Raw genomic sequence first — 27,900 nt, forward strand, 5'->3', positions numbered from 1 at the left:
GGATGCTGGGCTCACACAGAAGGGCGTTCAAGGTGGAAGGAACCACATGCGCAAGAGCCTTAGAGTGGGAGCCAGGGGCAGTGCCGGGGTCGGGGCTAGGCTTGGCTGGCACGGGGTGTTTTCTGAGGATTCCAGGCAGGACCACTGAGGCCGTTCCCCTGCAGCAGCAGGAAGTGCCTGAGAGTTCTGAGTGTGAGAGGGACTTGGGCTGGGGAGGCAGAGCTGTCCAGGAGGGGCTGCTGCAAGATGGAGAAAAACAGCCTCCCTGGACCCTCAAGGGCGGAGGACAGTGACAGCACAAACCAGTGGCTGGTTTGCAGAGAGGACCAGACCTTCCCCATGCAGATCAGTTCACATTGTCTCTGTACTGAACAGCCCTGAGAAGGGGTGTTCCATCCATTCAGTCCTCTCTGGGGGCTTCTTGGGGTGATGAGAACAGGATGCCCCAAGTAGGGGCTCTACCACAGGCCTAACAGGTACCAGGCTGCGTCACCTCATTCCCCAGAGGAGCCAAGAGCGGAGGCTGCCCAGAGTGTCCAGCACGGTCTCTCCCCTTCAGGAACATGACATCGAGACACCCTACGGCCTTCTGCATGTAGTGATCCGGGGCTCCCCCAAGGGGAACCGCCCAGCCATCCTCACCTACCATGATGTGGGCCTCAACCGTAAGTGCAGCCCAGCCTCAGTCAGCCCTCCTCTGCCTCCCATCAGCCAGAGCGGTGAGGCCCCCCACCCTCCCCACAGGGCCCTGTCAGCCCCACTCACACTCACCTCTGTTGCCTTCGCCCTCCGGGCCTCCATTTCCCCGACGGACCCGAGGCTTACACTTCTGCCTTGCCTGCCCTCTGGGGGCCCGGCCTTCCTTCCAGTCCCCCGGCCCCTCTGCTCAGCCATAGTGGAAGTGTGTCTTTGCAGACAAACTATGCTTCAACACCTTCTTCAACTTCGAGGACATGCAGGAGATCACCAAGCACTTTGTGGTGTGTCACGTGGATGCCCCTGGACAACAGGTGGGGGCGTCGCAGTTTCCTCAGGGGTAGGTACCCTGAGCCCCCTCTGCCTGTCTCCAGCTCTGCACCTGAGGCCACACCTGGGCCCTGACCTCCTGCTCTGCCTGCAGGTACCAGTTCCCCTCCATGGAGCAGCTGGCTGCCATGCTCCCCAGCGTGGTGCAGCATTTCGGGTGAGTCCCCGCACAGCCCCTGCGCTAGGGCCCAGGGGTGCCTACCCCAACTGCAGAGCCACCTGGCTCCAGCTGAGGGCTTCAGGCTATGGGCAGGGCCTGCTCTGGATGACATGTATGGGAAATGGCACCCCTAGCCCTAGAGTGACCAGCCTGCTCTGCACCAGGTTCAAGTATGTGATTGGCATCGGAGTGGGCGCCGGAGCCTATGTGCTGGCCAAGTTTGCAGTGAGTCTCCCCATGCCCCCATTACCCCAAACACCAGGGCAAGCCAGGGATGTCCCAGTGGTGGGGACTGGGGGGAACCCTTCAGCCTTGAGGAAGTGTCCCTGCTCTCGCTTCTCCTCCTCCCACCTCCTCTTTATGTAGAAAACCTCTTTTTTCTTTTTTCCTCCAGGGAAATTAACTTTTTTAAAAAAGAGGTTCCTTTCTCCATATAGTTTTCTCAAGAGACTAGAAACTATAACTTGCTTAAACTATTATCCAAAGCCAGAATTTCTAGTAGCAACAAACTATACAACTAACTGCTCTAGCCACTAAATAAGGATCGTCCTTCACTAATTGCCATGGTATTTCAACATGAATAATTTTTTTAGCAAAAAATTTTATTATGGTTGGGAGGTTTAAAGAAGGCACATTTCAAAAACATCATTGTCGGTGGCTCACACCTGTAATCCCAGCACTTTGGGAGGCCAAGGTGGGCAGATCACGAGGTCAGGAGATCAAGACCATCCTGGCTAACACGGTGAAACCCAGTCTCTACTAAAAATACAAAAAATTAGCCGGGCGTAGTGGCGGGCGCCTGTAGTCCCAGCTACTCGGGAGGCTGAGGCAGGAGAAAGGCGTGAACCCGGGAGGCGGAGCTTGCAGTGAGCTGAGATCGCGCCACTGCACTCCAGCCTGGGCAACAGAGCGAGACTCTGTCTCAAAAAAATAAAAAAATAAAAAAAATCATTGTTGGGTAGGAATTCACAAGCTTTTCATCTCTAAAAACAAGCAAAAAAAAAAAAAACAAAAACCCAAAAGACTAATTTTTCACGATCGAAGACATTTACTACTTCAAAAGAAATGACCAAGAATTTTCAACTCCAGTTGCAATGTCAGCACTTAATCATTTTGTTAACTGGAGGCCATTCCCTGCCACCCTAGACAAGCTTGATGTGGTTATGCTGTTTTTCTTTAAGCACAGTCTAACAGTTGAAAAGAAAATACCTCTTTTGCAATGCCTACGGCAAAACAGACTTTGAAAAGGTTGTTTTTTTCTTAATTTATATCATGAGGGCTTCATTTTCTTTTTTTTTTTTTTTTTTTTTTTTTTGAGATGGAGTCTTGCTCTGTCGTCCAGGCTGGAGTGCAGTGGCATGATCTCGGCCCACTGCAACCTCCACCTCCCTGGTTCAAGCAATTCTCCTGCCTCAGCCTCCTAAGTAGCTGAGACTACAGGTGCATGCCACCACGCCTGGCTAATTTTTGTATTTTTATTAGAGACAGGGCTTCACCATGTTGGCTAGGCTGGTCTCGTATGCCTGACCTCAGGTGATCAGCCCGCCTTGGCCTCCCAAAGTGCTGGGATTACAGGCGTGAGCCACGGCGCCTGGCCAGGGCTTCATTCTCTATAAAAGCAAAAAAACAACATGCTTAAGATTTTAAGATGTTTAATACTCAATTTTGCACTTCAAAAATATATTAAGAGCTGATTCTGTTGAAAGAGCGTGTGTGTGTGTGTGTGTGTGTGTCTGTGTGTGTGTAGGGGTGGAAACAATGATAGAGATTCTAAATAAATCCAAGAACTGTGAAGGGTTCAGTGAGAGGAGGACAGGCAGGGGCATCTGGACATGGGTGTGCATGCACAGACCCGGCTGTAGCCGGGTGGCTGATCAGCAGCACCTTGAAGACTTTACAGAGTGTTTCTGCCATCTGCACCCATCCTGGCCCCGCCCGGCCCTGTTTCCCCTCTTACTGCAGCTCATCTTCCCCGACCTGGTGGAGGGGCTGGTGCTGGTGAACATCGACCCCAATGGCAAAGGCTGGATAGACTGGGCTGCCACCAAGGTGTGTGTGGTGACCGGGGGTGGGGTGGGTATACCTAGGGTGGGGTGAGGGGCGGCACTCACGCTGGCGCCCTGCTCCCTGCAGCTCTCCGGCCTAACTAGCACTTTACCCGACACGGTGCTCTCCCACCTCTTCAGCCAGGTAAGGGGGGGAACTTCTGCAGATCTGGGGTGATCTGGGATTTGCCCCTCCCAGCTGGCTCGGTAGGAGGCAGGCGGGTGTCTTTGGCATCTGACCTGGCTCACTCCAGATGCTAAGCCATCTGAAAGACAGACATCCCCTCCCAAGGCCCCACACCTCCTACCTGCCCCCACCCTGTCTCCCCTGCCTGCTGAGTGGGGCAAGGGCCACTCTGGCAGTGACATCTGCCAGCCCCCTCTAAGCCTGCGTCCCTCTGTCTGCCCCTCTGCATGCCTCCATCCATCTCCCTGGGCCTAGGAGGAGCTGGTGAACAACACAGAGTTGGTGCAGAGCTACCGGCAGCAGATTGGGAACGTGGTGAACCAGGCCAACCTGCAGCTCTTCTGGAACATGTACAACAGGTGCGGGTGGGATCAGCAGCCCTGGGACCCAGCACACCCCAGTGGGGGCCCTTGCACACTGCCCCCTGAGGGAGGCAGGCAGACAACACCCTTGCCCTGGTTTGTAGATGGGCACGATATTGGGCCTCAAAGGAGGTCATTTCCTGCACAAGGTCACACCCTGTGAGGGGCAGAGGGGAACAGGGTTTCAGACTCCGGGCCTTGGGCTCTTCCACTTTTCCTCCTCCCCTGGGGGCTTCCCGCTTGGGAATGTTGGGGGTGTTAGTGACATCCCTGACTCCAGTAACCCAGCCTTGATGTTGACGTCTGCAAAATGAGGAAGAGGTCGGATGAGCCTGTGGTTTTCAAGCTGTGCTCCTTGGAGCCCCCTTTAGGGGCTGCCCTGCCCTGCAGGAAGGTGGCCAGGCCCCCTCACTCACGTGCCCTCCTTCTCATTCTTCTACAAATATTAAGCACCTGCTGTGTGCATGGTGCTAAGAAAACAAAACAATAGAGAATAGAGAGACCCAGGGCCTGCCATCCCATATGGTCCAGGAGACAGGCCAGTAGCAGAAACTCCCACAGCACAGGTGGCGGTGCGCATGGCTCTGAGGGGGATAGAGAGCAAAATTTGAGAGCCCACCTGGTATGTGCTAGGGAGTCCAAAAAGCCGTGACAGGGAGCCTCCAGTTCATTTATGCAGAGCAGGTCCACGCCTCCCTGCTTTACCAATTGGCAGTGTTGGGCTTGGGATGCCCCTCATCCTGTCCTGGGGTGCCCACCTCTGCCTCTGCCCCTCCCCCTGCCCCACAGCCGCAGAGACCTGGACATTAACCGGCCTGGAACGGTGCCCAATGCCAAGACGCTCCGGTGAGTGGCCCCTGGCCCTCTGGCCTGCCCTGGCCTTTGCCCCCATGACCCAGCCAGACAGCCCTTTTCCTCTGTATCTGCAGCTGCCCCGTGATGCTGGTGGTTGGGGATAATGCACCCGCTGAGGACGGGGTGGTAAGTGAGGGGCTGTGGGCTCACTGGGGGTGGGAGGTAGGGGTGAGGGGCTCACTGGCCCCTGCCCAGCAGGGACAATTCTTGATCCAGCCCAGGGGAGCCTCCAGGGCCAGCAGTGGACGGTGGGCTTCTTGTCCACTTTCCCACAGTCTTGCCAAGCCTCACATCTGGCATAGCCCCCATCCTTCTGGCTGGGGAGGCCTGGAAATGGGGAGAGCTGGGGCCAGGGCTGGGCCATCAGAAGGTCCCCTCTTCCCTCCCCAGCAGCACAGCCCCAACTTGGTCCCTACCCACCTCAGGCCCAGGGTGTACGATCTTTTTTCTAAAATGTGATCAAGCCATTATAAATCATTAACGCATACAGCGGCACGGTCTCCCTTTTCCCGTCACCTGCAGCGGTTATGTTTGGGGGCCGTGTGTCACCTCTCCTGCTGGAACTCTGGGAGCAGGTGGCCTGAGGCTGGGATGCCCCATCAGCACAGAGCTGCTGGGAAGCTGCAGGGTCCAGAAGTGCCCAGAGCAGCCCCGTGCGCCCTGAAAATACCAGGCTTTCCCATGCCCACTGGGAGGTCCTGGAAGAGCAGGGTGGTGGGCTGTGCCAGCCCCCTCCACCCAGTCTCTCTCAGACCCTCGGCACCCCTCACCTCACTGCCGAGGGCACTGGGGCTTTCCCAGGCCAGTCCCACCACGGCAGCCCAGCCCTCGCCTGACTCCCACTCCTAGCAGTTGTGAGTGGGCTCCAAGGGTCCCAGGCCCTTCAGTGGGGCTGTTAAACTGGTCTCCAAGAACATGGGGAGCCCTGGGAGAAGAAAGCCTGGGAGGAGCAGCCTGTCACAGCTGCTGGGCCTCCCTCTGCCTCCCTGCACCCCCTCTCCTCCCCGAGCTTGGGGCATCAAACCTGCCTTGGCAATGGGGGTGGGGAGGGGCAGGGGCTGTTGCTGAAGCTGGCTCCTTGTCCTCAGGTGGAGTGCAACTCCAAACTGGACCCGACCACTACGACCTTCCTGAAGGTGAGGCTTTCTTCCCCAGCCCTGGGCCAGCTTCCCTAGCATGGGCCCAACCTCAGGGAGGTGTTTTCCTGGGGTCCCAGCCAGGGTGGGAGCTTGTCCTGGAGTGAGGGCCCTGCTCAGGTCACCCCACTCTCTCCCTTGCAGATGGCAGACTCTGGAGGGCTGCCCCAGGTCACACAGGTGAGACTTTTGGCCCTCCTGCCCTTACATCTATGGGGAGGGGGAAGCCTCTACCCTACCTGCTAATCCTAGGCAGCCAATGAAAGCATGTGCTTGTCCTGCCCTCCGCAGCCAGGGAAGCTGACTGAAGCCTTCAAATACTTCCTGCAAGGCATGGGCTACAGTGAGTACATTTCCACCCCACCCCACACCACCTAGAGACCGGTGGGCAGGCAGTGCTGGGGTTGGGGCTCCTGTTTGCAGGGCTGGCACGTGGTGTCAGGTGGTAGTAGGGAGCCCATAAGCATAGGAGTTTTGTGTGACCTGGGCCCCGGATGCTGGGCCCCACAGATGCCACCTGAGTTGCAAGTTGGCCATCCCAGGCTGTGCCCAACTCCCCTTTGCCCTTAGGGAGGACTTGGCGCACTGTTCTGATGGCAGTGCTGGGCCTACTGGGGGAAGGGACTCTTCCTTCCGTGCTGGGGGTCCAGGGCCAGGGGCCGTGTCCTGCCAGGGAAGCCTGTCTGGGGGTGAGGCACACTCCCCTCACCCGCCCCAGGGCTTGGGGTCAGAGCTGGGTCTATGGCACCTGAGAAGGCCTTTTGAAACAACTCATGGCTGCACCCAGGGGCATCATAGGAGTGGGCTTGGAGTTTGGGGCCAGGGAAGGCAACTGGGGCCGCCTGGCATTCAGAGAGCTGAAAGCAGCTGAACCTGGCTTGGCAGATCTGAAAATCTGGGTCTGGGGTGGAACCAGGTACACACACACAGACACACACACACACACACACAACACACCCCTTGTGTGTCTCCTTGACTTCCCCCTTCCCTCCAAGACATACCTGTTCCTCCAGGTCCCCACTGCCAGGAGGCAAACTTCCTCTTCTCAGTTTGTTTTTTGTTCCCCTCCAGACTTCAGCCTCTGGAGCTATCTCCAGGGCAAACAGGAGGGCTGCCTGTGGGAAGGCTGGGGAGGACACCCAGGAATAGAATGCTCTCTGGAGCAGGGCAGAGCCCTAGGGCCCACAGGGAGGCTCCGCAGGAGCACAGAGTCTGGAATCAGGGCACAGCAAGCATTTGCGAGGTGAACGGAAGAACATTGTCAGGCGCTGAGACGCGTTCTCAGGGTCCTGGGGAGAAACTCCACCAGGCAGCCCCAAGCTGGGAAGGGCACAGAGCGGGCAGGCCTCCCCCATTCTGTATGCAGGAGACTGAGGCCTAGGAGAATGGTGAGGGGATAAGCACCCCACCTGTCAGGGCTTCCTTGGGCCAGAGATCCTTCTGGGGGCCACTGCTGGGTGGGCAGGCAGGAGTGGGCTTCCAGAAGCCTCTGGCCCTGCCCCCAGCCTCTCTGTGCCTGTCCTTTGTCCCATCTCTCTGGCTCATCTCAATGCCCTTGACTCAGCGGACCACGCTCTTCACTGTGTTGTGTCTCCCCCATCCCCGCCCCCTCTCCGGCTCTGTCTTCTCTCTTAGTTGCGTACTTGAAGGACCGAAGGCTGAGTGGAGGAGCAGGTAGCCCCACGGCCCTTCCCCTGATGCATGGACGCCCAGCCTCCTCCTCCCCCGCTCCTTCCTCTGCGCAGTGTGCTGCAGCCAGGCCGCATCTTGCTGTGGTTTGGAACCTTCTTGTGTCCTGTTCAACTCAGAAACCCCACAGATTCTTGCTTTTCTGCAGGCTTGGCCTCTAGGTTGGCTGGGTTGCAGAGCAGTCTTGCTTCTAGGTTGTCATGAGCTGCGTGGCTTCCAGAGCTCTGGGGATAGGAAACAGACCCTCCTTAGAGGTAGAGCCCAGGCCTGGCCCTGCCTGAGCCACATAGGTGGCCAGGAGAGTTCCGGAGGGTAGAGTTTGCTGCCCGCAAGTCTTGCTTGTGAAACTCTGAATTAGGGAATTAGGGCACAGTCTGAATTGAGGGCAGTATGCGACCACCGCTCCGCGTCCTCCTTTACAGAAACAGTCCTACTTCTCCACTGGCATCCTCTTGAGGGAGGCACGGCTGGAAACCCAGCACCTCCCTGCACCAGCTCAGGGCTGCCTGGTCAGCTGCTGGCCGCAGCCCCCTAGGCCCACTCACTGTCGCCGGCCCTGCATGCCCCCAGCCCGACAGCTGTCGCCAGCCTCCTGACTCAGGAGGAGCCCTTTGTGCCTTCGAGGAACGGTTCGCTGGCCGCTTTGCTTGCAGCCTACTTTTCCCACCAGAGGCACCTGGCCCTGCCCGCCAGTCCTCAGGCCCATCCTGTCTCTGTCCACAGTGCCCTCAGCCAGCATGACCCGCCTGGCACGCTCCCGCACTGCATCCCTCACCAGTGCCAGCTCGGTGGATGGCAGCCGCCCACAGGCCTGCACCCACTCAGAGAGCAGCGAGGGGCTGGGCCAGGTCAACCACACCATGGAGGTGTCCTGTTGAAGCCCTTGATCCCGCTGACGACGCCCACGTCGAGGCCCCACCGCCATCCTTGCGCCGGCTCATGTTCCCTTTAGTTTATTTTTGTGAGGGCAAAGGGGAGGAAATGGGGTTCTGTTTGAAAAAAATGAGGGGATCTTAGATGCTGCAGCAGAACAGTCTCCAGGTGTTTTAAGGGGCTCAGTCCTCCTCATCCCATCTCACTCTCCGTGGTAACTTAGCCAACTTGACCCCTCTCATCCCACTCCCGGCGGCCCAGGCACAGAAGGGCAGGGCCATAGGGAGGGAGATTCGCTACGGATCCAGGCCATTCCTGGGTGAGCCCTTGGGCAGGCATGTTTGGAGATGAGAGAGGCTTCGAGAGGGTGGGTGCTGGGCCACAGGGGTGCGGGGCCAGCTCAGGCACTGGCGTGGGAGCCCTGGGAGACCCCTTCCCCCACCCTCCACCAAGCACACCTGTTTCTGTCTCATAGCACATGTGACAATCATCTGGACAACAGCCACAAGGGGGCGCTCGGACCAGGCAGCCACTTTCCTGGTGCTCTCTGGGCCCAGCTGGTGCTGTAGGGCCACGCAGGCAGGGGCGTCAAGGGGTTTCTCTGCCCAAGGAAGACAGAACATGGAGAACCGTCAGGGCAGGAACCCCACAGACTGTCCCTTCCAGCCCACACTCTGCCACCTCCTGGCCCTGTCCCAATTCTGAGCCAAGGCCTCCCCGAGGCAGAAGTTGCCTGGTCCTCTGTCCCCACAGTGACCTGACTGGGGGTGAGGGAGAAGGAGGAGAGAGCCCATGTGTGGTGTGTGTGCCCCTGAGAACTTCGTGGTGACTGCCTTTGGGAGCCCGCAGGTGGCCAGAGGCAGGGGTAGCTGAGTTCCTGGAGACCCCTTTTTTGCCCCCAGGTTCCCCAGAGGGCAACGCCATCAGTAGCAGTGTGGTGTTTCAGGCAGAGCTCTGGCCAGGCTGTGCCAGTGTGTCCCGGACGCATCACTAAGGAAGAGAGAGTTTATTTAGTCAACTGGCCCAAGGCAGCGAGGCTTCTACAGTCCCACACCCCATAGCCGCCTGGGCTGGGGCTTACTGGGGGCTGAAGGTTCTGGACATGAACAAGGGTCAGGTAGAAGAGAAAGGCTTCCCCTACACCCCAGCCTCCTGCTGTCCCCTGAAGCCCAGGACTGCGTTGTATGCTTTCCATCCACTCACCTTACCCCATAGCATCTTGCGGCCCAGAAACCAGAGCCATTTGTCTCAGACCCTAAATCAATAATCACAAACCCCAAAACGGGAGAGAGCAGTGAAAACATGCAGGGCTGTGGACGGGGGAAGGGTTGTGGCGGGTGTTCTGAGGCTGAGAGGACACCTATATGCGTATTTCCTCTACACACATCACCCCCCTTCTATAATCTTAAGCCATGACTAGCCTGGTGGCGTGTTAGTTTCTGCCCAGTTCTACCCCCTCATGTGCTTCTTCTGAATACTGAATGTGACTGTTTGAAAGCTGGTAGAATTCATCCCTCTTACTGTAGATAACACTGCAAATCTTGGAATTTTGTTTTTTGCTGTTTCCAGATGTATCTATAAATATCTATACATTATATGTGTGTGTGTGTGTGTGTGTGTGTGTGTACATCGGGTCCTCCCATGTGTGGTGTTCTTCTGGAGGTTGTCTCTTTGGTCAAGGTGAACTTTTAATGTTTATTATTTTCTTCTCCGCACAAAGTAAAGAGCCTAATTTTGTGTATTCTGGTGGCTGCTGTCATGAGATGATAAAATGTAAAACAAAACTCTAGTCAACGTAGAAAGAGTTAACTGTGCTGAAAAACTAATAAAGAACCTAAGAAGAATTCCAGTGTGGTGATGCCATGCCCATCATGGGAGGCTTTTGGAGAAACAGAATGTTTGGGCAGGGGCTGCTGGTGCTGCTTGGGTTTTGGGTTGAGGGTGCTAGGAGAGGATGGTCTCCACCCATCTTTCTATTTCCAGTACACGTCACATTATTTTACCGGTGAGATGAGAATGTCACAAACATTAAAAGCCTTATGTGCTCATTTCTGCTTATGTGCTCATTTCTCCCCTGACTCTGTGACAAAATACAGCTCTCCTCAGCCAGGCACGGTGGCTCAAGCCTGTAATCTCAGCACTTTGGGAGGCTGAGGCGGGCAGATCACTTGAGGCCAGCAGTTCGAGACCAGCCTGGGCAACATGGTGAAACCCCGTCTCTACTAAAAATACAAAAATTAGCTGAGCATGGTGGCGCGTGCCTGTAATACCAGCTACTCGGGAGGCTGAGGCAGGAGAATCGCTTGAACCTAGGAGGCAGAGGTGGTAGTGAGTGGAGATCGTGCCACTGCACTCCAGCCTGGATGACAGAGCAAGACTCTGCCTCAAAATAAAACAAAAAAACAAAATACAGCTCTCCAGAAAAAAATGCCTTAAAGACAAAACAAAACACCCCTGCCCTCCAAATCTCTTGCCTGAGTCACTACATTCCTTCAAAGATAAATGACCTACTCTTTGCCTTCTCCTAAACATACGATCATGTCTGACAGGGTTAATGATTATACTCTGCAATCTATAACCAGATATACTTATCCCTAAACTTTGATATGATTTTACACATACTAAATCTTCACCTATGTATAACCTAAACTAAAATACCGTGTTAGAGGAGCCTCACAAGATTACTCCTGGGCTACAGGCCTCAGTCTATAGTCCTCAATAAGGCTTCTAAATAAAACTAATTTTAATTATTTAAAAGCTTAATATTTTTTCTTTAGTCAACATACCAATCCTTACATTAATTCTACAGAGTAGGTATTATCTTAGTTTCGCAGGTGAGGAGACTAAGGTTCAGGAAAAAGGATTTGCCTGAGTAACAGACCAGGCCGCGCGCGGTGGCTCACGCCTGTAATCCTAGCACTCTGGGAGGCCGAGGCGGGGGGATTGCCTGAGCTCAGGAGTTCGAGACCAGCCTGGGCAACGCGGTGAAACCCCGACTCTACTAAAAATAAACACAAAAAATTAGCTGGGCATGGCAGCGTACGCCTGTAGTCCCAGCTACTTGGGAGGCTGAGGCAGGGGAATTGCTTGAACCCGGGAGGTGGAGGTTGCAGTGAGCCGAGATCGCACCACTGCACTCCAGCCTGGGCGAGACTCCCGTCTCCCCAACGCGCCAAAAAAAAAAAAAAAAAAAAGGAAAAAAAAAAAAAACTGAGTGTTGAGCTGCGGCGTTGCTTGGCTTCAAAACCCATTCCTGTAACCTCTATATTCACAGCCTCATTTTCTTACATTTAACAGCATGCTACTTCCCCAGGTTTAACCACCATTTGTTTTATTCATTTATTTACCCAATAGGTAGATATTGAGTCCCTACTATGTCAGCTAATAAAACCCACCACGTGCTATGCAGCAGATTAAAAACGAGGATGTACTGGCAAATAAGGGCAGAGAGGATCTATTCTAGATCCAGGAGCCCTCTAGGCCACGCCACTCTGAAACACACACGAAAACTGCTCTGAACGAATACCACCAGTAAAAGGGTTCCATGGCCATCGGCAACAAGGGGTCGAGATCAGGAGGTCGCTCGCCGCCCAGTTGCGTCGCTCACCACCGGCCGGCCACCAGACCCTCGGCTTCCGATCCAGAAACCGTATTTTGTTCTTGCACCCAGACCGCAAGAAGCCTCAGCCCTCGGGGACAGACCGAAGGCCAGGGCTGTACCTGGCTCAGAACCAGGCGCCAAGCGGCACGGGACTCTCCTTCTGCACTCGCAGCGCGTGAGTGCAATTGGAGATCCTGGACTCAAGATGTTTTCATGAGGAACGATTCCAGCCCGCGGTAACTCCGGCCAGTCTGCAGCGTGGACGACAAAACAGGCACCACGTGGTTCCGGCGCCGGGGCGGGGCCAGAGACGCCGGAAGTGACCGCGCGGTGCGCCGGCCCGCGAGGAAACGCGCTCTTAGACCATGGCGACCCAGGCGAAGCGTCCACGGGTGAGTGGCGGGCGCGGGGTCCAGCCTTTTCCTCCGCGCCTCACCCCTTCTCCGTTCGCAGAACCGTCCGCCTGCGCCCCCTCCGCTCCCTCCCGCGGGTCCCGCGCCCCTCTCCGCTCGTCCCCTCCTCCACCCAAAGCCCGTTCTGCGCTCGCGCCGCGGTCTCCTGCAGTTCCCAGCGGCCTCTCTGGGGGTCGGACCTGGTCACTGCGCGCACTTATCTCAGGTGGCGGGGCCCGTGGACGGCGGCGACCTGGATCCTGTGGCCTGCTTCCTGAGCTGGTGCCGGCGGGTGGGGCTGGAGCTGAGTCCCAAGGTGAGCGAGCGAGCCGGCGGGCGGAGGACCCGCGGCGGGGCGCGGGCTGCCCTGACCAGCCCTCCTGCTCAGGTGGCGGTCAGCCGGCAGGGCACGGTGGCCGGCTACGGCATGGTGGCCCGGGAGAGCGTGCAGGCCGGAGAGCTGTTGTTCGTGGTGCCGCGGGCCGCGCTCCTGTCGCAGCACACCTGCTCCATCGGCGGCCTGCTGGAGCGAGGTGGGCACGGCGGCGGGCTAGGGCCCTGGGGCGGGGCGGGGCGGGGCGGGGCGGGCCCGGCCCGCGAGGCCGCGCCGGGGCGCTCACACCTGTGTCTTCCTCAGAGCGAGTTGCGCTGCAGAGCCAGTCGGGCTGGGTGCCACTGCTGCTGGCGCTGCTCCACGAGCTGCAGGCCCCGGCCTCACGCTGGAGGCCCTACTTTGCGCTCTGGCCCGAGCTGGGCCGCTTGGAGCACCCGATGTTCTGGTGAGAGCCTTGGGAGGGGTTGGGGAGCGCCTGCACCGTAGCCTGCTGCAAGAAGTTTCCCCGCCCCTGCACCAGTCCTACCCAGTAAAGTGTGTGAAGGAATGAAGGGAACCTGGGTGTGGGTGTCCCTGCAGGCCAGAGGAGGAGCGCCGGTGCCTGCTCCAGGGCACAGGCGTACCTGAGGCCGTGGAGAAGGATTTGGCCAACATCCGCAGCGAGTACCAGTCCATCGTGCTGCCCTTCATGGAAGCCCACCCCGATCTCTTCAGCCTCAGGGTTCGCTCCCTAGAACTCTACCACCAGCTGGTGGCCCTTGTGATGGCCTATAGGTCAGTGGGTGGGGCCTCTGAGGACGGAACCCTTTTCTTTACAACTCTATAGAGGGACAAAAGTGGAAAAACAGTGAAATCCACCCCCAGTCCCTCACCCAAGACAGGGCCTTAGCCAGGTTCTGTCAATGGCAGCTTTCAGGAACCACTGGAGGAAGAAGAGGATGAAAAGGAGCCCAACTCCCCCGTGATGGTGCCTGCTGCAGACATACTAAACCACTTAGCCAATCACAACGCCAATCTAGAATACTCTGCGGTGAGTGGAGTTTCTCTTGGTGCACTGATTGAGCATGATTCAAGCCATTGTGTCTTAGGCTCCATTCTCTTACTAGTGCTACAAAATGAGTAGGTGAAATCAGCTCCTCCTGTATGTCCTTTTAGTATGCATATTACTGTAGAATCATTTGAATGCGAAACATTTTAAAGTCCTCAAAGTAAGTTGTGGTTAATCCTCTGATAAACTATACTACCATCATTTATTTAGTGCTAGACATTGAGTGGTCTGCATAGCCATGTTTCATTCCTTTCTGGCTGATCACATCAGTGAGCCCAGACTGTGTGTGGCTCTGTGGATAGCAGCCTGGAACAGTGATAGTCTCCGTGTTTTGGAGGGATGAGGACATTCACAGGCCAAAGGTCTAAGACGATCCTAGAACTGATATAAAGCTGTGTTTATACCAGCTCTATTCTATATAAAAAGTAGCCTGAAAAGATGGCACATTTATAGGATCAGAAATTAGTAAGTATGGTTATTTCTTAATCCTTGCCTCCATTTTCCTTTCCCACTTTGATCTGCGAAAGTTCCATTTTTTCCCCCCCGAGGCGGAGTCTCACTGTGTCGCCCAGGCTGGAGTGCAGTGGCGTGATCTCGGCTCACTGCAACTGCCGCCTCCTGGGTTCAAGCAATTCTCCCTGCCTCAGCCTCCCGAGTAGTTGGAATTACAGGCTCCTGCCACCATGCCCGGCTAATTTTTGTATTTTTTAGTAGGGATGGGGTTTCTCCGTGTTGGCCAGGCTGGTCTTGAACTCCTGATCTCAGGTGATCTGCCCACTTTGACCTCCCTAAGTGCTGGGATTACAGGTGTGAGCCACTGCGCCTGGCCGAAAATTTCGTTTTTAAAGCTAGCAACTTTTTAAGTGCTGAAGAGGACTGTGCAGAAATCCACCCAGTTAAACATGAAGCTGGCCTTTTAAAGTTAGCCCAACCCTTTTTTGTTTCACAGTTTAGGGTCTAACAGGAACTAAAGGTAGAACTTTGGTAGTTAACAGCATCAGTCATGGCTGAACTACACCTGCTGAAGGCTCTTCTTAAGTGGAAATAATCTTCATGGGGCTGGCCCGTGAAAGGCATGGCCCCAGCTTCTCCCTTTCACCTCAGAATTGTCTTCGGATGGTAGCCACTCAGCCCATTCCTAAAGGCCATGAGATTTTCAACACTTATGGGCAAATGGCTAACTGGCAACTGATTCATATGTACGGTTTTGTTGAACCATATCCTGACAACACAGATGACACAGCTGACATTCAGATGGTGACAGTTCGTGAGGCAGCATTACAGGGTGAGTGTATCATTAACTCAATATTTGACACTGATGGTGTGTCTATACCCATGCCTCAGGTTAAATAGCTTTGCTAAATAGCAGTTGACTTTGTAGACTGGGTGGCAGACTAAAGAAGAAATGAACCCTTGGGTGTACTGAGACTTTCACATTGCTGTTTCATCTACAGGAACAAAAACTGAAGCTGAAAGGCACCTAGTGTACGAGCGCTGGGATTTCCTATGCAAACTGGAGATGGTAGGGGAAGAGGGAGCCTTTGTGATAGGGAGGGAGGAGGTGCTGACTGAAGAGGAGCTGACCACCACACTAAAGGTAAACGGCTGAAAATGGCCATTTAATGCTGATAATCTAAGTATTTAAAGCAAAATAGCTAGAAGATGAGAGAGGAAATGTGGGATTTTTAATAAATGCTAAGATGAGTTTAGTCTCCTGAGTCATTTCAGAAGTACAAAAGCAGTACATCTAATTAAAGAGCTCTGTGGTTGCTTCTAGGTACTGTGCATGCCTGCTGAGGAGTTCAGAGAGCTTAAAGACCAGGATGGAGGGGGAGATGATAAAAGGGAAGAGGGCAGCCTGACGATCACAAATATTCCCAAGCTCAAAGCATCGTGGAGACAGCTGCTTCAAAACAGTGTTCTACTGACTTTGCAGACCTATGCCACAGACTTAAAAACTGACCAAGGTTTACTCAGTAATAAGGAAGTCTATGCGAAACTCAGCTGGAGGGAACAGCAAGCCTTACAGGTTCGCTATGGTCAGAAGATGATCTTACATCAGTTGTTGGAGCTGACAAGTTAGCAGTTTCCCTGTTCCCTGAAGGAACAGCAATAAGAACTTTATTCTAAGCTAATACTCATTGATGTTTGAAAAAGAGGAAAATTTGGATCTTTCTTTTGCTTACTAAACACCAAGAGGAAAAGTAGCAAAGTTGGTGTGCTAGGATTAACTCAGGTAAGGGTGATGTGTTTTAGGATTGAGAACAGCAGACTTGGGAATCACTGCTAATTGTTACTTAAAGCATGTTACAGATGTTTTGTTCTCAGTTTTAACCAAAGCCAGTGGACATACGGTAGTAATAAGTAAGTCTTGTTGTGTTTCAGCATTTAATAATAGACTTTGGAGGTAGACCCCTGGTTTAAATCTAAGTCTAGTTTGAGGAAGTCACTTAACCTTTATTGAAAAGACTCTGGATTTAATAAGCTGTGTAACTGGTACTCGATAGTTACCCAAAGTTCAGTCTAGATGGCACAAACCACCTCTCAGGGAATAAACCCTAAGACATCACTCAAGGAGGACTTCAATTATTTAATTTTGAACTGTTTTGTCCTCTCTGGCCATAAAACTTGACAGTCATGAAAGGTAAGGCAAATTTTAAGTGGGTTAAGTTTTTAAATACGTATCTACTCATTTTCTTTAAAAAAAAAAAAAAAATACCTGGGGGAAAAGGATATTAAAACTGGGTATTTTAAACTCAGCTTAACCAGATAAACCTGCTCCAGCATTTGTCCAGTGTTGAAATAAATAGGAAGAAAAATACAATTTCCTTAAACATGCCAGCTTAGTAGTAGGAATGACCTATCAATCAATCAATCAATCATTCAGCAAGAAGTTAGTTGGTGGTTCCCCATGGCCCCAAGGTCTGCAGGGCTGGATTGTCCACTTTTCCTCCTCACCACCAGCACTGGCTGCTGCTACTGAGAAAGGCACAGTGGACTCATGTGTGTGTCATGACTTTAATGGTTAGCTACAGTATGCATACACATACAAGAAGTAGGGGAGCTGAAGCCCAGGAAAAGGCTACAAAATACAACACAGGGACCAATACATTTGCAAAACATTCAAAATCCTTATAAAAGGGGCTGTATTGGTCCTTTCAACTTTGTCATTATTCAGCTTAGCCTGTATGGCCATTCATTCAGTGGGGTAATGGGGGAGAACAATTAATTAATGAGATTTGGTTCCCTTTCCTATATTCCCACTGTTTTTAAGTTTCAGGAGAGGATTGGGGGGGTGAGGGTAGGGGTGGGCTTTAGGCCTGGTCTGGTTTCCCTTTATATAAAGAGCTGACCCCCATCTCAGGCGGCTGAGGTGTATAATCCCCAAAAGAAATAAGATGGTACAAATGCAGTCAGCTTTGGAATACGTTTGGGTAGAGACAAAATGGAAACTCATGGGATTCCAATAGTGAGCCCTTCCCATGTTCCTGGACATATCCAATTCTAGCACATCCACATTTTTAATAACTTAGTGATTTTCAAGGTCCCCTGTCCACATTAAAAAAATAAGTTACATAATATTCAAACTGGCTTTTTGCTATTCTTTGGGACACCAGGAATGTCAGAAGACATGGAGCTATGCCCTCAGACAAGTGCATGGCATCAGCTGCCTCTTCATTACAAGGTACCAGTTTATGTACTTGCCTTGGACACAGCTTGCACAAAGCCAAGAAGTTCCAGACAAAGGTTTTCTCTTTCATGTATTTACACAAGTTCAAAATGATATTCACAGCATCTTCTAAATTTTGGCCAAGAGTCAAAAAAATGCATTTAAACTTTGGAACGTGCCCACATAAGACAGGAGGCTGATCCCAACAGTAGTTGGGGCAGATACCCACAAACCAAAGGGCTGGGAAAGTCAGGAAGAGCTGAAAGGATTCTTCAGTCAGTTTATGAACTCGGTGCAGTGAGACCTCTAGACTGACACGTACAACAGAGATGCAGTTTCGTCTAACTGGCACCTGTCCCTTCCATTACTTGCTGGGCCTGCTTCTGTCCCATGCAGCACTGTGCGACCGACTGGAATAACCTGAAGGATGAAGACAGTTACAAATCTCTGATTAAAGAGTAGGCCTAACAATACCTTGCATCTCATTCAGCTGACCCAACCTAGAGACAGATGGTTTTCAGTCTCCAGTCTCATTCCTAGACAATTAAAAATTACTTTGAACTCACTTTTCGATTTCTGGGGCACAGTGTACAAATTCATGGTTCCAGAACTTAAACGCTGGGTTTTTAATCAGCTCAATGAAGGTAATAAGAAGACCCCAAGGATGTGGCCTATTTACAATCAACCGTTCCAAGAGAACTCTGGAAAAAGGGAGAAAGAGCTAGTTAATGTATAGAAGCATACAAATTCATGATTATTCTTCCATTACTTTTTTTCTAACTTCTCCCTGACTATTGAACCACATGCAAAAGTTTTCACCTTTAGTAAAGACAGGTGGATTAATATACTCCAAATAGCACAGGTTGGAATACCTGGGTTTGAACCCTGCTCTTAGCCGTAGAAGACTAAGTATTTATATAAAGTGCAGATAATGGTATCTACCTCACAGCTGTTCAGAATAAGGGGTGATGGGGGAGAGGAAGCCACATAAAGCCCAGAGTACATGGCACACAAAGTTAGTACAAAAAGTAGTAATTTCCAGAATGAGCTCCCAGGCCGGGCACAGTGGCTCATGCCTGTAATCCAGCACTTTGGGAGGCCGAGGCAGGTGGATCACCTGAGGTCAGGAGTTCGAGACCAGCCTGGCCAACATGGTGAAACCCCATCTCTGCTACAAATATAAAAATTAGTCAGACATGGTGGCCACATGCCTGTAATCCCAGCAGTCGGACGCTGAGGCAGGAGAATCGCTTGAACCCAGTAGGTGGAGGTTGTGGTGAGCCGAGATGGTGCCACTGCACTCCAGCCTGGGAGACAGAGTGAGACCCTGTCTCAAATAAACAGATAAATTAAATAAATAAATAAGCTCACTCTCAATAAAAAGGAAACAGAAAATAAGAATTAAGTATTCTAACACTGCAGGCTGGGCACAGTGACTCACGCCTGTAATCCCAGCACTCTGGGAGGCCAAGACGGGTGGATCACGAGGTCGGGAGTTCAAGACCAGCCTGGCCAAGATGGTGAAACCCCGTCTCTACTAAAAATACAAAAAATTAGCCGGACGTGGTGGCAGGTGCCTGTAATCCCAGCTACTCAGGAGGCGACAAAGCGAGACTGTCTCAAAAAAAAAAAAAAAAAAAAAAAAAAAAAAGCTAACATTGCTAGTTCACATGTAAATTGGTAAAATTTTTCCGAATGCCAGTAAGCATTGGCTTAACTTTATATCCTTTCACGTACCAACTGTACATGAAGCATAACAAAGATTACAAGTCCAAGGAGACTTACTGCAGCTTTATATAAACAAAATGGATCATCATCATCTAAGCATCCAATAAGATATTAAATTTTAGTACACAAATCAAAGGAATACCATATTTAGCACCATAGGTGACTAATTAGGCAAATGAGCAAGTTTTAAGAGTCTGGCCCAATTTTTAAAGTGTGTGTGTGTGTGTATCACAATCTCTCTAATGCTATATGTAGTCTAGGCAATCTGGCAACAGATTCCTAACTATTGTTAGGAAAATGCAAGTATGATCCTGTTATTGCTACTGCTTTCAACCCAGAGGTAATGAGGAAAAGTCCAAGTTCCTTAACATAGACTTCATAGGCCTGCATGATTTAGGACTGGTTATCACCACCACCTCAGAGAAACTCCTGACCTTTAATCAAAATGTGCCTTGTGGTAAACTACTTTTCATTTAAGCCATGATTGCGATTTATAATTCCCTATCTTGTGATAAATGTCCATCAGAATGAGTATTAAGAGGGCAGGAACCATCCATTTTGCTCACAATTGTATCCCACATTTAACACATTATTGGACATGTAAAAGATTTTCACTGAAGGCCGGGTGCAGTGGCTCACGCCTGTAATCCCAGCACTTTGGGAGGCTGAGGCGGGTGGATCACTTGAGGTCAGGAGTTCAAGATCAGCCTGGCCAACATGGTGAAACCCCGTCTCTACTAAAATACAAAAATTAGCTGGGCGTGGTGGCAGGCGCCTGTAATCCCAGCTACTTGAGAGGCTAAGGCACGAGAATCGCTTGAACCTGGGAGGCGGAGGTTGCAGTGAGCCAAGATGGCGCCACTGTACTGCAGACTGAGTGACAGAGCAACACTCCGTCTCAAAAAAACAAAAAAAAAACCAACCAAACGGATTTTCACTGAACACTGAAAGCATAAAGAGGAAAAAAAAAAGATGAAAGGGAGGAGATCCTTTTGAAGCATTTAAAAAATAAGCTGCTCGCTTACCTTGTGATCTGTTCTTGGATGGCTTCCGTATTGGCCTCTGCAAAAAGGTACAGCATGGTGCAACTGAAGTAGTGAGTGTGGCTATTTGGGTACCGGAGCTGATTTGCAATTGCATTCAAAAAGAGATAGCGACCTAGAAATTAAGAAACCTTGACTTAGGACTTAGTCTGAAAGGCCAACATGGGAAGACAGTTCTAACTGGCTAGGGTTTGGGTTTCTGACAGAGGCTTTCAAATTAATCTTTGGTTTAAAGCAGTGGTTCTTGGGACCCCAAAGAGTTCTCATTTCTGTGCGTTTTATTTCAGAATTTTCCACATTAGAAATTAGATTTTAAAAATATTCATTTTTAAAAACAGACCCACTATGTGCTAATGTAAGAAACATGAACTATTTTCTGGTGACACTCATCACTAAGTCTTTCTACATTTTGCAGATCTCTAAGTCTTGCTTAATAAAAGACAGCTGGATTCTCATTTCTGCTTCTGTGTTCAACTTGTTACAGTATATTTCATGTAACCTCTGAGAAATTCAACTGTACACTCATGACAGAATAGACCCAAAAATGTAAATGTTGTTTTATGATGAAAACAGTTTTGGGCCGGGCACGGTGGCTCACGCCTGTAATCCCAGCACTTTGGGAGGCTGAGGCAAGTGGATCACTTGAGGTCAGGGGTTCAAGACCAGCGTGGCCAACATGGTGAAACCCCATCTCTACTAAAAATACATAAAAATTAGCTGGGCATGGTGGCGTGTGCCTGTAATCCCAGCTCCTCGGGAGGCTGAGGCAGGAGAATCGCTTGAACCCCTGAGGCGGAAGTTATGGTGAGCCGATATTGCGCCACTGCCTTCTAGCCTGGGTGTGAGAGCAAGACTCTATCGCAAAAAAAAAAAAAAAAAAAAGTTTTGACCTCACAGCCCTCCTAAAAAGGTCTTGACACCCTAAGGGTACCCAGCCCACATTTTGATTAGTCTAAACTACACTGGAATAAGTATTATCTTAATTGGGTTTGGTTGTTTGCCTCTGCTTGACATTATTCGTGTTTGTGAGTCTGTCACAGTGACACGTTTCTCTAAAGGCTGCCGTCCTTTTATTGCCGAGCTCTTGGACGTGATGGTATTCAATTTTGTTATATCTTGAATTTAAGCTGTCTTAAATCCATCCCACATATAGGCATGCAGCATATATGCAACATCAATTCATCTCTCAAGAATCAATAGCAAAGTTAAAGAGTAGTGTCCCCCTAAAATATATGTATGCAAAACTGGACAGGACTGTACAACTAGTTAGCACCTAACTGGGGTCTCTATTTTATAAGATAAATATAGAGGACCAAATGAAATGTAGCTCAAGCAGAAAAGCTGCAACCTGCAACAGGAGTTATACTGTGAGCTTTTTGCAGAACAGGAGAGTCCTATTCATTAATCTTTATACATGAACATTTAACAAGATGCCTGCCAAACACGCACCAATAAAAATGCTTATATAAGGCAGCCTAACAAAACAATGTAACAAGAGGCTATGTTTAAAGGGACTTTAAGTTTATTTTCACACTAAAAAACTTCAGTCACATACACCAAAACTGATACTGCACGATTCTGGATAATTCTTTCCTTTATGCTTTTTTGTATTTCCTGCACTGAGCAGATAATGTCCAATTAAAGATAAAATAATCAGCTAGACCTGTGAATAAATATACTGACAGAACATTCCTTCACTATTGTGGCTTGAAGCATTTTTACATTTTTGTGATCAGATTGTAGCAAAAAGCACAGAGAACTCTACTCTGAAAACTGGCAGGCTTCACTCACCCTCAGTGTCCAAGTCCACAGCCAAATTCTGGAAGATATCCATGTGTGCTGAGTGAGTGATGGTGCTCATTGAAGGTGTGCTGCCCTTGTTGTGGATGTGCGCAATGGCCTGAGTCCCGACATAGAGCACCAGTGCATTGATGAGCTGGAGGTTGTAGCGATTCCCAGGTTCATTGGATACCTTAAAATGAGCAAAACAGAACTCCTTATGCTTACTCCTGCAGAGGACCAATTCTAGCACCAGTATTTCTAAACCCTTCTTACACCTTCATGGAAAGGCCAAACATTTATTGTGATTCACTTGCTTGAATTTGTGAGGTTATTTAACAAACACACAGATGCTCCAAAGGTGGTTGTATCAATAAGAGAAATGTGATTTCCCTCAGGAAGCCGAAGCTCAAGGCACAGCTCTAAAGTAAAGTTTATAAAATCAAAATATGCACTGTGCCAATTAAAGATTTGGAGAGAAAGTTGTAGTTGCATGGCATATACAGACTGTAAATATATAACTTTCCAAAATATCCTATAGAGAAATGTAAATCAGCATCCAGGTATTCAGAAAAATCCTAGGAGTACCAACAGCTAATGACTGTCTGTGGTCTACTCTTCTAGTGCTGTCTTGTCCAAAGCTGTAGCAAAATATCACTGATTAAATGAACTAGTAAAATACGTAAATCCAGTTAATCAACCTCACCCAATTGATGGAAATGACAATAAAAGACTAACTCCCAAATGGACCACACACAGGACCATACATAGAAAGTGCTTTATATGGAAGACGTAGATGAGTTTTAAGCCAAACCAATTAACCTGTAGGTTGCTGCGCAGATCAGACAGGAAAGTGACTGGTGATCGAGTTTTAAGATAGGAATCCAAATCCTTTTTGAACTGAGGTGGCATTACTCCAGTGAAATTGGTGAGAATCCGGGGAGCAATGTTAATTTCACTCAACATGTCCACCTGCCACAGATAAAATGCAAGAATCACAAGCAGAATCATTTTTATTAGTAAATTACATCTATGCTTAAGTGGTGGGACTGTTTTTCTAAAACTATATACACTATAAATGCCTTGAAGAGCACAGCTGCCACATTTTATTAATCAGTCTTTCTTTCTTTAGAAGAATCTTGGTTCAAAATGATAAAAATTTCCCACTCTATAATGTATTTCCTTCCCAGAGGCAAGATACCTTTTGGGCAAAGGTCTAATTTGCACAACTAACTGATTTTTCTTGGACTTCGGTTTCAAAATAATAATCCGGAATAAGATTCCTCACTCACCAAGAGTCTTTGAAAAGAAGCCCCAGCAAGACCAGACATCACACTTACTCCTTAAAAAAAAAAAAAAAAAAAAAAAAAATTGAAGCCGGGCGCAGTGGCTCACGCCTGTAAACCCAGCACTTTGGGAGGCCGAGGTAGGCGGATCACCTGAGGTTGGGAGTTCAAGACCACCCTGACCAACATGGAGAAACCCCATCTCTACTAAAAATATAAAATTAGCTGGGTGTGGTGCCTGTAATCCCAGCTGCTCGGGAGTCTGAGGCAGGAGAATCGCCTGAACCCAGGAGGCAGAGGTTGCAGTGAGCCACAGCTCGCGCCATTGCGCTCCAGCCTGGGCAACAAGAACGAAACTCCGTCTCAAAAAAAAAAAAAAAAAAAAAAATGCATGTGTCAGAAAGAGTAGAGACTACATCTAAACTATAGCTGGGCACTTCTAGTGGTGTGCACCTCTAGTCACAGCTACTCTGGAGGCTGAGGCAGGAGGACGGCTTGAGCACAGGAGCCTGAGGCTGAAGTGCACTATGTTCACACCTGTGAATAGTCACTGCCCTTCAGCCTGGGCAAAACAACGAGACCCCTGTCTCTTAAACAAACTATAGTAGCCATGTCAGGGTGGTGAGATTTTAAGTGGTCCTCTCTCTCCTTTATTCCAACAACTTACAAAAAAATACAGTGGGTTCTCCATACCCTTAGGTTCCATATCTAATTAACCTCAAATCGAAAATATGGGGGGTGAAGGTAGAGGTAGATGATGGGGTCAATAAAAAATAATACAACAATAAAGGCCGGGTGCAGTGGCTCATGCCTGTAATCCCAGCATTTTGGGAGGCCAAGGCAGGCAGATCGTGAGGTCAGGAGTTTGAGACCAGCCTGGCCAACTAGTGAAACCCCGTCACTACTAAAAATACAAAAAAAAAAATTAGCCAGGCATGGTGGCGGGCACCTGTAGTACCAGCTACTTGGGAGGCTGAGGCAGGAGAATCACTGGACCCCAGGAGGCGGAAGTTGCAGTGAGCTGAGATTGCGCCACTGCACTCCAGCCTGGGTGACAGAGTGAGACTCTGTCTCAAAAATAAATAAATAAATACAAATAAATAATAATACAACAATAAAAAACACAAATTTTAAAAAGTTATTAATATAGTTTAAAATAGTTATTTCCATAATAGCATTACACTACATTAGGTATCATAAGCACTACAGATGTCATTTAAGGGGATATGCAAAGGTTATATGCCACTTTACATACAGGACTTAAGCATACTTAAAATTTGGTGTCCCAGTGGGTCCTAGAACCAATCCTCCAAGAATAGCAAGGGACCAAGGAACAACTGCACAAGTGCACAGACACAAAACTGTGAAATATGGAGACTATGGCAGGGCGTGGTGGCTCACACCTGTAATCCCAGCACTTTGGGAGGCCGAAGCAGGCAGATTACTTGAGGTGAGGAGCTCAAAACCAACCTGGCTGACATGGCGAAACCCCATCTCCACTAAACACATAATTAGCCAGGTGTGGTGGCGAGTGCCTGTAATCCCAGCTACTTGGGAGGCTGAGGCGGGAGAATAGCTTGAACCAGCGAAGGGGAGGTTGCAGTAAGCCGAGACTGCACCACTGCACTCCAGCCTGGGTCACAGAGTAAGACTCTGCCTCAAAAAAAGAAAAAGATTACAAAGGTCTGTTTGTTCTGCAATTCTTTGCCATGTGGGGCACACCCAGCAAATGACTGCCCCAACACCTAAGCTGTGGTTCTGTAAATAGAGCTAAATTTAATATCAAAATTAATATGAAAACTAGCAACTAGAAAAATGCTGTGAACCAATATTCACCAGCAACAGCAATAGCAACAATATCATACCTTCTATCAGGCTTAATAACATTATTTCCTTTAAAGAGTACCCTTAACTAATAGTGTGCGTGTTATGTTGGGTAGGAAAGTGCTGAACAGTCTACTTATCAGAGAAAGGACTGAAATATTAAGACATAAGTTTTCCTTTAACTAGTTGGAACCTTACCTTTAGATTAGGAGTGAATGGGTCGGGGAGCCTCATGTTTCTTGGAAAGGCACTCAGGATCAAATTTCTTAACTGGATACAATTAGGTGGGATCACATCACAGAACCCATAATGGTAATCACAAAGGAACTCTGGGAAATCATGCAAAAGAACCAGCAGCACTCTTAAAGTGCCCTATTTTTAAAAAACAAGAAAAATATTTCCACACTAAGGAAAATGGAGTAACATTTTCCTATTGTAACTTAAGCCCCCCACCCCCCTCAAAAGAATGAAGTATACTTTAGTAACATTTCTTAAAAAGTTTTAGGCTTTAATTAACATTATCACAGATGATTTATCAAATATTTCCATTTAGGTATCATGAAAAACTAGGCATCAAGAGTTTACAGGCTGAAATGAATATGCTAGAAGAGGAGACTGGACAAAAAATAAAAATACAATGATGTAAGCGTCTATCTTCAGAAGCTAAAAAAAAAAAAGAACTAATGAAAACCAAAGAAAGTAGAGTAAAAGCATATAATAAATTTTTTAAAGTACTGAAAAGGGAGAAAATCAGGGCCCAAGTTAGTTATTAGAAAAAATAAATTGATAAACCCTAACCAAGGCTGACAGAGAAAACACAAAAATTATTAATGTCAGGAATGACATTACAGATCCTACAGTCATAAAAAATAGTTTCAGAACATTAAACGACTTTATGCTCATAAATCTGACAATTCAGATCAGTGGAAATAGAACACCTTAGCACACTGAGACACGCAAAGATTTCCTACACAAGTCACAAAAAGCAACTTTTAATATAAGTTTAAAAATCTGCAATTTTGACTACAATAAATTTTAAAGCTTCTGATCCTCAAAAGACACCTCCCCCTTCCTTTAAGGGAGTAAAAGGGCAAGCTGTGAGAGTGGGAGATGTTTGAATATATAGTAACAACAAAGGGCTTGTATTTAAAACATATAAAGAATTATTTAATAAATAAAAATACAAACAAGAGCCAAAAGACTGGAAGAGGAGCATCACAAAAAGGTGATATCCATGGCTGATCTACACATGAAAACCTCATTAAGAAGTCATCAAGGAGGGTGGGTGCAGTGGCTCACGCCTGTAATCTCAGCACTTCAGGAGGCTGAGGCAGACTGATCACTTAAGGTCAGGAGTTTGAGACGAGCGTAGCCAATGTAATGAGATCCCCCATGTATACTAAAAATACAAAAAATTAGCCAGGCATGGTGGCACATGCCTGTAGTCTCTGCTACTAGGGAGACTGAGGCACAAGAATCACTTGAACCTGGGAGGTGGAGGTTGCAGTAAGCTGAGATCGCGCCACTGCACTCCAGCCTGGGTTTCAGAGTGAGACTCTGTCTCAAAAAAAAAAAAAAAAAAAAAAAAAAAAAGATAAATCACCAACAAACAAAATTCCATCCACAATGAGATCTCACAGTACAACTGCCAAAATGGTTAAAATGAAAAACAGATAATACCAGGTATGGCAAGATGAAGATGGGGGAAAACCAGTAACTCCTCCAAGCTGTTTACAAGTATAAACTGGTACAAACGCTTTGTAAAACTGTAGTATCTTCTACAGTTGAACATATACAAACACTGTACAATTTGGGTGCTAGTTATGCAAGTACACTTGATTTTTACACTTTTCTGAATGTATATCATGCCTCAAAGGCTTAATAAAAACAAAATAAGGCCTCAGATTCCTAAAGTGTATTTTCTTAAGATCTCAGTTATTTTAATTTATAATAAATCCAAGTTAATTACCTTGTAGAGGATTTGCATAGGTTTGGTGAGTTCCACATTTCTAAGGAAAGGCGCTAAATATTTGAATAAATCAATCAGTAGCTGTGCATACATAGGCCACCCCTGAAAGAAAGAAATGTACATGAGTCATAATTATACTCAGCTGTTTTTCAGCCACTACAAGTCGCCCAAGCAGCTACACTGACTTATCTTCTTCATGCTAATATAAGTAGAGAATACTAATGTTAAGTACTTTTACAAAAGATCGGCATTAAAGGCCAGGCACGGTGGCTGACGCCTGTAATCCCAGCACTCTGGGAGGCCAAGGCCAGTGGATCACTTGAAGTCAGGAGTTCGAGACCAGCCTGGCCAACATATTGAAATCCTGTCTCAACTAAGAATACAAAAAATTAGCCAGGCGAGGTGGCGGGCACCTATAATCCCAGCTACTCTGGAGGCTGAGGCACGAGAATTGCTTCAACCTGGGAGGCAGAGGTTGCAGTGAGCCGAGGTCGTGGCACTGCACTCCAGCCTGGACAACAAGAGCAAAACTCCATCAAAAAAAAAAAAAGAAAAGAAAAGAAAAAAGACTGGCATTAAAAAGATTAAAAAGGACCAAGTTATTATGGAGATAGTGGGAAATAATATTTGAAAAAAACTGGCTCCAGAGATTTCAAGACATAATGGTCCCTGTGTACCTGTAGCAAAATTTAAAAAGGGAGAGGAGTAAACTTCCGAGAGAACACAAAACAGTCAACTGCAGAAACTGACAACTAGAAATGTGTTTTCTTAATTCCTTATTAAGTCTCAGCCATTTCCTTTCTCTCTTCCAGCTCAACTCTTCGCAAATAACCTTGTTCAGTCCACGACATGAATTCTCTATTTTCAGCCAATGTCAGCCTGCTCACCCTCCC

The 27,900-nt window shown here is 48.9% G+C and overlaps 3 protein-coding genes across 45 annotated transcripts in view, besides 4 other annotated features; 2 read left to right on the forward strand and 1 right to left on the reverse strand.

The window, feature by feature from the left end:
* Nucleotides 1-12,149, forward strand: part of NDRG4 (NDRG family member 4) — a 51,673-nt gene extending 39,524 nt beyond the window's left edge. For 11 of the 33 annotated variants that reach the window (XM_047434509.1, XM_006721256.4, NM_001378345.1 and 8 more), the window contains 14 exons: nt 560-665; nt 916-1,036; nt 1,121-1,183; nt 1,351-1,411; nt 3,149-3,235; nt 3,320-3,376; nt 3,674-3,777; nt 4,570-4,626; nt 4,710-4,761; nt 5,724-5,771; nt 5,916-5,951; nt 6,063-6,114; nt 7,407-7,445; nt 8,184-10,381. In XM_047434509.1, coding sequence (XP_047290465.1) covers nt 560-665; nt 916-1,036; nt 1,121-1,183; nt 1,351-1,411; nt 3,149-3,235; nt 3,320-3,376; nt 3,674-3,777; nt 4,570-4,626; nt 4,710-4,761; nt 5,724-5,771; nt 5,916-5,951; nt 6,063-6,114; nt 7,407-7,445; nt 8,184-8,338 — 1,038 coding nt within the window. In that variant the 3' untranslated portion in view covers nt 8,339-10,381. Of the gene's footprint in view, nt 1-467; nt 666-915; nt 1,037-1,120; nt 1,184-1,350; nt 1,412-3,148; nt 3,236-3,319; nt 3,377-3,673; nt 3,778-4,569; nt 4,627-4,709; nt 4,762-5,723; nt 5,772-5,915; nt 5,952-6,062; nt 6,115-7,406; nt 7,446-8,183; nt 10,382-11,687 lie in introns of those variants that run through there. The other 22 variants (NM_001378346.1, NM_001378339.1, NM_020465.4 and 19 more) reach the window with 5 other exon arrangements.
* Nucleotides 11,954-12,123: an enhancer, noted in NCBI's record as "active region_10929". NCBI's record gives its function as "activates an Ori minimal core promoter by ATAC-STARR-seq in GM12878 lymphoblastoid cells {active_cell/tissue: GM12878}" and the evidence as "EXISTENCE:reporter gene assay evidence [ECO:0000049][PMID:35858748]".
* Nucleotides 12,241-20,604, forward strand: SETD6 (SET domain containing 6, protein lysine methyltransferase). 9 transcript variants are annotated; one of them, NR_134583.1, is made up of 9 exons: nt 12,241-12,326; nt 12,553-12,642; nt 12,715-12,859; nt 12,964-13,105; nt 13,240-13,434; nt 13,570-13,690; nt 14,782-14,993; nt 15,163-15,305; nt 15,486-17,295. NR_134583.1 is itself a non-coding variant. In NM_024860.3 (9 exons), exons 1-9 carry the CDS (start codon nt 12,300-12,302, stop codon nt 15,789-15,791), a joined length of 1,350 nt encoding a protein of 449 aa, NP_079136.2. In that variant the 5' UTR covers nt 12,241-12,299; the 3' UTR covers nt 15,792-17,295. The 9 variants fall into 9 exon arrangements, 8 of the variants coding, with proteins under 8 accessions (NP_079136.2, XP_047290621.1, XP_047290620.1 ...); NM_024860.3 differs by having other exon boundaries at nt 14,813-14,993; NM_001160305.4 differs by having other exon boundaries at nt 12,279-12,326; nt 12,553-12,859; nt 14,813-14,993; nt 15,486-20,604.
* Nucleotides 12,244-12,903: a silencer, noted in NCBI's record as "silent region_7554". NCBI's record gives its function as "represses an Ori minimal core promoter by ATAC-STARR-seq in GM12878 lymphoblastoid cells {active_cell/tissue: GM12878}" and the evidence as "EXISTENCE:reporter gene assay evidence [ECO:0000049][PMID:35858748]".
* Nucleotides 13,164-13,333: an enhancer, noted in NCBI's record as "active region_10930". NCBI's record gives its function as "activates an Ori minimal core promoter by ATAC-STARR-seq in GM12878 lymphoblastoid cells {active_cell/tissue: GM12878}" and the evidence as "EXISTENCE:reporter gene assay evidence [ECO:0000049][PMID:35858748]".
* Nucleotides 13,983-14,152: an enhancer, noted in NCBI's record as "experimental_43903 CRE fragment used in MPRA reporter constructs". NCBI's record gives its function as "activates a minimal promoter by MPRAs in K562 erythroleukemia cells, with activity observed for the introgressed 16:58551210 variant allele {active_cell/tissue: K562}" and the evidence as "EXISTENCE:reporter gene assay evidence [ECO:0000049][PMID:34662402]".
* The window catches only part of CNOT1 (CCR4-NOT transcription complex subunit 1), a 109,876-nt gene continuing 98,688 nt past the window's right edge, over nt 16,713-27,900 (reverse strand). For 2 of the 3 annotated variants that reach the window (NM_001265612.2, NM_016284.5), the window contains exons 43-49: nt 27,008-27,109; nt 25,237-25,410; nt 22,751-22,900; nt 21,941-22,121; nt 20,132-20,264; nt 17,945-18,079; nt 16,713-17,798 (exon numbers count right to left, since the gene is read on the reverse strand). In NM_001265612.2, coding sequence (NP_001252541.1) covers nt 17,720-17,798; nt 17,945-18,079; nt 20,132-20,264; nt 21,941-22,121; nt 22,751-22,900; nt 25,237-25,410; nt 27,008-27,109 — 954 coding nt within the window. In that variant the 3' untranslated portion in view covers nt 16,713-17,719. Of the gene's footprint in view, nt 17,799-17,944; nt 18,080-20,131; nt 20,265-21,940; nt 22,122-22,750; nt 22,901-24,684; nt 24,868-25,236; nt 25,411-27,007; nt 27,110-27,900 lie in introns of all 3 variants that reach the window. The other variant, NR_049763.2, reaches the window with a different exon arrangement.

Source organism: Homo sapiens, chromosome 16 (assembly GCF_000001405.40).
Source record: "Homo sapiens chromosome 16, GRCh38.p14 Primary Assembly".
Classification (NCBI taxonomy): domain Eukaryota; kingdom Metazoa; phylum Chordata; class Mammalia; order Primates; family Hominidae; genus Homo; species Homo sapiens.